The 8,210-nt window shown below is 39.8% G+C and overlaps 1 annotated feature.

The window, feature by feature from the left end:
- Positions 6,287 to 7,486: an enhancer, noted in NCBI's record as "P300/CBP strongly-dependent group 1 enhancer chr13:106571137-106572336 (GRCh37/hg19 assembly coordinates)". NCBI's record gives its function as "activates an origin of replication core promoter dependent on BRD2, BRD4, P300/CBP, MED14 and CDK7 cofactors, with strong dependence on P300/CBP, by STARR-seq in HCT116 cells {active_cell/tissue: HCT116}" and the evidence as "EXISTENCE:reporter gene assay evidence [ECO:0000049][PMID:35650434]".

The raw sequence follows: 8,210 nt of genomic DNA on the forward strand, positions 1-8,210 counted from the left end.
AATGATATTACATCTATATGACCTTTTATCTGTACAAAACATCAGGAAACTTTAAAAATCAGACAGGAACACTTTGGGAGGCTGAGGTGGGAAGATCATGAGGTCAGGAGATCGAGACCATCCTGGCCGACATGGTGAAACCCCGACTCTACTAAAAAAAAAAATACAAAAAATTAGCCAGGCTTGGTGACGGGTGCCTGTAGTCCCAGCTATTCAGGAGGCTGAGGCAGGAGAATGGCATGAAACTTGGAGGTGGAGCTTGTGGTAAGCTGGGATCGCGCCACTGCACTCCAGCCTGGGTGACAGAGTGAGACTCTGTCTCAAAAAAAAAAAAAAAAAAATCAGAGATGAAATTTAGACTAATTCTCAAGGGTCATTGGAATCCATATGTCACAATTAACATCAGAGTCACCCTTAGCGTAACCAGCCCATCACATTATATTTCACTATTTGCAAAGAGGAAAAAACAAAAATGAGCTTTAACTCTTAAAAGTATTGAAGTAATCTTAAAATGGGTCCACATTGGTTTTAATATTAAGAAGAAAAATCTTTAAAAACAAAAAGAAGCAATTTCTAAATAGATCCTCTGGTATGTTACAATAGAAGGTTATTATCAATTATATATTGAAGGAAATCTATATGAACAGCACATGCGTACTTGTGGTAATTAACTTTGATGTTTATGCCATCCTTTTCTTAAGCTAAAATATTTGAACAAATAAGAGAATGTGTATTTCCAAAAGAGACAATATGGGATAGTGTTTCGGAGTCTCTGCTCAGTAACTTAACTAGCTCTGAGCTTTTCTGCAAGTTACTTCATAGACTCCTTATGCTTCCTTTAGTTATCAATAAAAATAAAGGTAATAATACAAGAATTTAATAATAATTTAATGAAAAGATGTTTGAAAAATGCTTAGCAGAGCTCCTGGTGCCAGACACATAGCAGCTAATTATCTTAAGTAAAATGAAAATTAAAATTGGAAATATACATTTACATAGTGCTAGTTGTTTTAGCTTTGTTCGAGCTCGTTACAGAGCTTAACAGAAAAAAAAATTATAATTGGAATGCTCTAGAAGAAAGAATACTTGGGATGTTCCTCAACAACAAAACAATTCGAACACTGCAGACCCTAAATGGAGAAATCCGAAAACAGTAAAAAGCAATGGGGCTATCTTTAAGTGTCTTAGAAATGAAGTACATAAATTAGGATTAGTATATGGACTGTAAATAGAGTCATTAAACATATCGAAGAAAATGTGTTTTTTTTGGTTTGTTTGTTTGTTTGTTTGTTTTGAGGCGGAGTCTCGCTCTGTCGCCCAGGCTGGAGTGCAGTGGCGTGATCTCGGCTCACTGCAAGCTCCGCCTCCCGGGTTCACGCCATTCTCCTGCCTCAGCCTCTCGAGTAGCTGGGACTACAGGCGCCCGCCACCGCGCCCAGCTAATTTTTCTTGTATTTGTAGTAGAGACAGGGTTTCACCGTGTTAGCCAGGATGGTCTCGATCTCCTGACCTCGTGATCCGCCCACCTCGGCCTCCCAGAGTGCTGGGATTACAGGCGTGAGCCACCACACCTGGCTGAAGAAAATGTTTTTAGGAAATATTAGAACATAACAATCTAATGATTACATAAATTCTTTCTGTTTGAGTATATGAATGTTTATACGTGTGTGTATATGTTTGCATATACACACATATATATACAGATAACTTTATAATTCAAATATATATGATGATAGAACACACTTTGAAAGGAATTATATTTAAAATTTCCTTTTTCAGTGTCAAAAATGAAAGTAAGATCTTCTTATCCTATTATTCCTATGATAGGTTGATTACTTTCTTATGTTGTCAGACAAAGAATTTTTCACTGTTTTTGTAAATGTTCCAAGGTCTGAAAGCCAAATTATTTGGTGTAATTCCAAATTATATACAATTTTTTGGAGAAAAAGGCTTTCTGCCATGTTCCCATGGTTTTACTAATATGTTATGATTTGTTGAGTATCTATTCCAAGTTATATTCAATCTCCTAGAGAAAAGGTTTTGCATGTCCACATGCAATTATTCTAATATGAATTATTATTTTCATTTTGTATTTCACTGTTAATTTTATTTAAAAGTACCAAGGTTACGGTTTCTACAAGCAAAGTGGCAGATAATGTCCCAGAAGCATTTTCTCTCCTCCTTTTCTCTCTCTGATCTTCTGCATGTGCCTGCACACACACAGAGAAAGACACAGACACACACACACACACACACGAGATGCATAAACACATACACACAGCTGTGTGACACTCATTGGCCAAAAATGAAAGAATGTTGTAACCCATTACAAATCCCTTCCTGGGCCTCTTCAAGTGTCTAAAATTAGAGAAAGCCAAGCTAAATTCAGAGCAGCCTCCTCACACAACTGTAGTCAATGACCACAGCTGGCAACTTAAAGGCAAAAAAGCAAATCCTGAGACATGGCTAGGATCCACCACGGAAGCAAATCTAAATGGAAGCAGTCAGCGCCACACAGGGTGAGCTGGGGAGGGTCACCTGCATGTCAGTTGGCTCCAGCAACTGATACCAGGTCATTTCTTTTTTAAGTATTGCCCTCGGAGGCACAGAAAATAGCTTGTTTATACCCTACTCTTATCTTCTGCTTCTTATTCTTTTTCCATTTGTTTTATTTTTTCATTCTTCTGAGGCACAAAGATTACAAATTCAATCTGCAGGAATAATTTTATCATTTGGGGAACAGTATTAACTTGCTTGCCTCCCGGGGTGTGGATGGCCAAATTTATATCCTGTGTGAATGAATTCCCTCATGGGGTTACTTAATGTGAATCTGGCTTTGAGAACAGCCAAGTTCTTCCATTGTCCAAAGTATCTAAATAGTGGAGAATTCTGGAAAGCTACGGTATGGCTGACACACATTTGGCAATGTCGGACTGAGTCTTAGGATTCTGCAGAACCTTCCAAATATCAAGTGCAAAGAAGTGACACTGTCTTCTCAAAAGAAAACATTTATGCTGTAAAAAAGCATATGAAAAAAAGCTCAATATCACTGACCGTTAGAGAAATGCAAATCAAAACCACAATGAGATAACATCTCACACCATTGAGAATGGTGATATTACAAACTCAAGAAACAACAGATGCTGGCGAGGCTGTGAAGAAATCGGAATGTTTTTACACTTTTGGTGGGAATGTAAGTTAGTTCAACCATTGGAGAAGATATTGTGGCGATTCCTCAGAGATCTAAAACCGGAAATCCCATTTGACCTAGCAATCGCATTACTGGGTATATACCCAAAGGAATATAAATCATTCTACTATAAAGATACATGCAAGCATATGTTCGTTGCAGCACTATTCACAATAGCAAAGACATGGAATCAACCCAAATGCCCACTGATAATAGAATGGATAAAGAAAATGTGGTACATATATACCATGGAATACTATGCAGCCATAAAAATGAGCAATATCATGTCCTTTGCAGGGACATGAATGGAGCTCAAAGTCATTATCCTCAGCAAACTAATGCAGGAACAGAAAACCAAACACCGCATGTTCTCACTTATAAGTGGGAGCTGAAATGAGAACACATGCACACAAAGAGGGGAAAAACACACACTGGTGCCTGCTGGGTAGGTGAGGGAGAGCATCAGGATAAATAGCTAATGCATGCAGGGCTTATTTAATACCTAGGTGATAGGTTGATGGGTGCGACAAACCACCATGGCATACGTTTAGCTGTGTAACAAACCGCACATCTTGCACATGTATCCGAGAACTTAAAATTTAATTTAATTTAATCAAAAAAGAAAGCAATGACACTGTGTTTCTGAATGCCTTAAAAATAGGTTGATAAACCTATTTTGCAATGCTCTGTGAATACAAACATTAGCACTCTTCTTGGAGGTAAACTTTAGTATCACACATTTTGCAGGAAACTTTTAGAGACTACTGATATGATAATAAGTATGATAATGTCATACTTACATGATATAATAAGATAGGTGCATTTTTTAATTAGTCAAATGAAAGAATCGTGCAACACAAGGTGCTGGCTCTCTCATCTTTGCCTGAGTCTCATAGCTGTGCTGAACTTTTCACAGCCAACTGTTCATGGAAATCATGAGCTCTTCCTGGTCCAGCTGAGGACACAGCTTCTGCTACATGTCTGGGATTGTACAGAGAAAGAAAGGAAGACTCATGGCCCCAAAACACTAGGAAACAGAAAATCTGAATTCCAGAGTCTGTTCCATCTGAGAATTGCTGAGTGTAACTTTAAGCAAGTTACATTTCAGGACTTCGGCTCTCAATCTGTAAAACAAGGATAGCAAATCATCTTCTACCTACCCCAGCATTGTTGTGGAAACTAAAACAGATATTTGATGTGAAGCCACAGTGAAAGTTATGAATAGGTACAGAAACACTTAAGATAATTCTTTTGTGCTTGAAAATATTAACCATTTATTAATTTAGCAAACTTTTGTAGAAAGTCTATTATGTGCTGCCTACAGACTATTGGATGGGTTGCTGGTTAGATATTCTAACTTCAGGACCTTTTTGGGTGACCTCCAAATCTGCTCATTGGCTGTTTATCCAGACTGGAAATATGCATGCTAAATAGTTCCTCAAGGCCGCCGCCCAATAGGTAAACTCCAATACACACTTTACATTATTTAATAACTTACTATAGAAACAAGAAGACAAGTGGGATGGATGCAACCCATGAGCTTGTTAAGGTCGTTAGTGAATGGAATAATGGGTATTAAACATACATAGAAAAGAAGGGAAGGATCAAGAGACACCCAGTGTTCTCAAGACACTAAATAAACATAAGCCATCAGGGTGGGAAGTATCCAAGTTACTCTAAATATGGACGAGCCATGATACAGCAAATATACAAGAAACATTCAGTCCTTTCTCAGGACACACTAAATATACACGAGCACTCGGTATGCCTGAGACCTTGACTTAGCCGCCGACTGGTGACACCCACTCTGGTCCCAGAGTCTTCTGCCCCAGCAATGCAATAAATCCCAGGGCTGTTCAGCTAGCTGGGGACAATCCACAGCCATCTTCCAGGCTTACTTATCCCTGTGTCTCTCCAGGAGACCAAATGAGTGCTATTAACCCGGGACATCTTGCTCAAACCTCAATTACTCCATCTGCAGGAAAGATGGATGTGGCATTGAGAGAGAGCCTGTGCGTGTAGAAACACTGCACATCCTGGGATTCAGGAGTACGACTCCTCCACCCCATTTGCACCCTATCCTAACTGTTAACTTACCCCATCTACTCTCCCTTGGGTCTAGATGCAAACTGATTAATACACCATGGTCTATGAAAAGTTTAAGTTGGTCTATGATTTTTTCTGTTCAGTCACCTGTGGGATCACTTTCTTAGGATTGTACTTATAGTCTACCAATGCACAGAGCGAATCTCCCACACGACAGCACTCTTCTAAAGCAGCTGCAGAGTTTGACCCTACGAACTAACCCTGACAATCAGACGCCATCCGACATCCCTGCTGTCCCCACCAATGTTGCTATGCTAATGCCACAGTGTCCTCTGATCCTGTTACTTGGATGACAGGAACTCTTAAGCCATACAGCTATTGCTAAAATTAACACCTTCTATTAATTGAGGTCTGGTCTAAGCCCTTTTTATCTATCATTTCATTGAATTGTCATGGGAAACCAGTGATATTAATGGTATAATTATCCTTCTCAGATGAGGAAGCTGATATATAAAGATAAAGTTGTCTTGATCAAGAGCTAAGGTCACACAGCTAATAGGAGGTAGAGCTTAAACGCAATCTGAGCATTGTGGCCCCAGAACCCTCACTTTAACTCCCACGTTCAAGGCTGTCTGTGGCCTTCGTGCTTGGCCTGTGAATTGTACAGTCTCTTAATGCACGTGACCCTCTTGAGCCTGTCAATGAAGCTCACTTTTTGTTATCTCCCCCACACCTCAGTGTACTTTGGATTTGAGAAAGAGACTATTTTAAAGGAGAGATCAGCAGGAAGCTAAGGGAACTGCATCTCAGGCTGGAATAAGGCTTTAAATTAAGAATAAATGCAAGATTCTGAGTTGTGTCCAGTGGTTAAGCCCTGGACGAAGGTGAGGGCCGAGGCAGTGTTCCCCTCGAAAGCTGCTCTTTGCTCTACAGTTCTTCACCACTGGGGAAGCTTAAGGGTAGATGGAATGAAAAGAGACTTACACTGTCACATGCAAGAGATTTAGGAAGCTTCATAAGAAATTGTTAGGAGGTCTTCATTTCATCTCAATTAGATCCCATTCTGTTCTTTCTAATCCTGCTCCACAAGGCTTTTCCTGTAACTTCACACATATGATCGTATTTAGTCCACATCCAATCCTGTAATGAGGCAATGACTCTATTTTACTTTATTTTTTCATTTTTATTGTTACTATTTTTTTTTTCCATAGAGACAAGGCCTCACTATGTTGCCCAGGCTGATCTTGAACTCCTGGGCTCAGGTGATCCTCCCACCTTGGCCCCCCCAGTGTGCTGGGATTACAGGTGTGAGCCATTGCACCTGGTCCCTGTGACTCTGCTTTAGAGATGAGAAAATGGAGGCTCAAAACTTGCAGTAATAGCCCCAGGTTACAATGCTGATAAATCATAAAAGTTGATTATGATACTGGCCTTGATGACAGCAGGATACGTTCTTTCCATTTAATCTCATCACTGGTGAGCCTACACTGATAAGAAATTCACAGTCATATTGTCACACTGCCTTTTCACCCGGTTCTATAAGGCACTCCCTGGCAATGAGTCATTCCTGCCTCAGCCCTTCTTCCGGAAGGAGGGGCTTGACCGGGCAGAGCAGCGGCTGATTTCCCGGGAGATCAGAAAGATGCAGATATGAGCAGGAGAAAGGACAGGAACTGGAAACCCGTAAACTGGGCAGAATTTAAATGCTCCTTTTCTCTGAGAGCGGTCCATTTTTACACATTGCAGAAATTTTCTCTGCTCCCACCTCCAAACTCACTCACAGTCCTTGATGTTTTTTGGCTGCATCAGCATATCCAGCAGTCAGGTTTCATAATTATCTTGTTGGTCACATGTGGCCCACATTTTCAGACATTCCGGAAATACACCGTGTGGTCTGTGCATCCACACACCTAACAGATCACTCGGGCAGCGCCGACCTGCAGAGCGACTCACCTCCCGTGTCATCTACCATCTGTGCTTACCTTGTTGCAAGAGGCAAGAAAATTCAGATGACATGGATTTGTTCCTGATTAATAGAACCGTAACCATTAATGAGCACAACTAGCACTAATATGCTTTTAAAACAGGAGCAAATTAGGCCTCTATGTGGTTGTAATATGTTATCAGCTAATTGATCGTTGCTGTTTTTTGTGGATTGTTAAAAAACAATGTGGATAAAACATGGTGGGAGGGATTTTAAAAAACAATGCGGATAAGGAGACTATCTATGAAATAAACAAATGTTTAATTAAATTAAAATTGTACAATTCTTTTCACTTGTTAATTTTTTTAAGAAATCCTTTGAAAGAGTGCTTCTAATTAAAACCCAGATCACTGGACCCTAAAGTACAGCAAAGGGACTTCAGGAGACTTTAAAGTGACTGCAGGAAGCCCAAGAATCCATATAGATTGAAAGTCGTAACCACCTTTGGCATATTTATTACCATTTTCACATTTAAAATTACTATTTTCAAATGCAAATTTTCACTGAACAAAATGGAAATTCATATGCAATTGATACTGAATTCCTAGTAACTTTTGTTCTTAATCATTTAATTGATTCTTTTCTAAAAGTACACTTTCTTTTTTAGGAAAAAATCTGAGAGAAAAGGTCATTACAAAGTTGTCCTCCCATTCTAGGGGTCTGGGAACCACTGATCTAATCAGGTTCTCTTTTTCTGGTATTGCACCCATTTGAGTCACGAAGAGTGAACTTTTGACACAAGCTGTCAAGATTTCCTCATAGACACGAGTGATCTATATCTGAGTCAGCCTGGGATTTCTTCGTTTCTTCCTTTGCCTTTGGTATTATTTGTGCAAATCAGCATTGTAAACCATTTTCCAGTGAGTTGTAATAGAAACCCAGGGCAAAAGGTCACTTCCGTTTTGGAGCCTCCCTGACTCTGCAGAGTTGCTCCCTCTGTCCTCTGCCCCAACACAATGCCTCATAATCCCCCTATTATACCCCTCAACT

Source organism: Homo sapiens, chromosome 13 (genome assembly GCF_000001405.40).
Source record: "Homo sapiens chromosome 13, GRCh38.p14 Primary Assembly".
Lineage (NCBI taxonomy): Eukaryota > Metazoa > Chordata > Mammalia > Primates > Hominidae > Homo > Homo sapiens.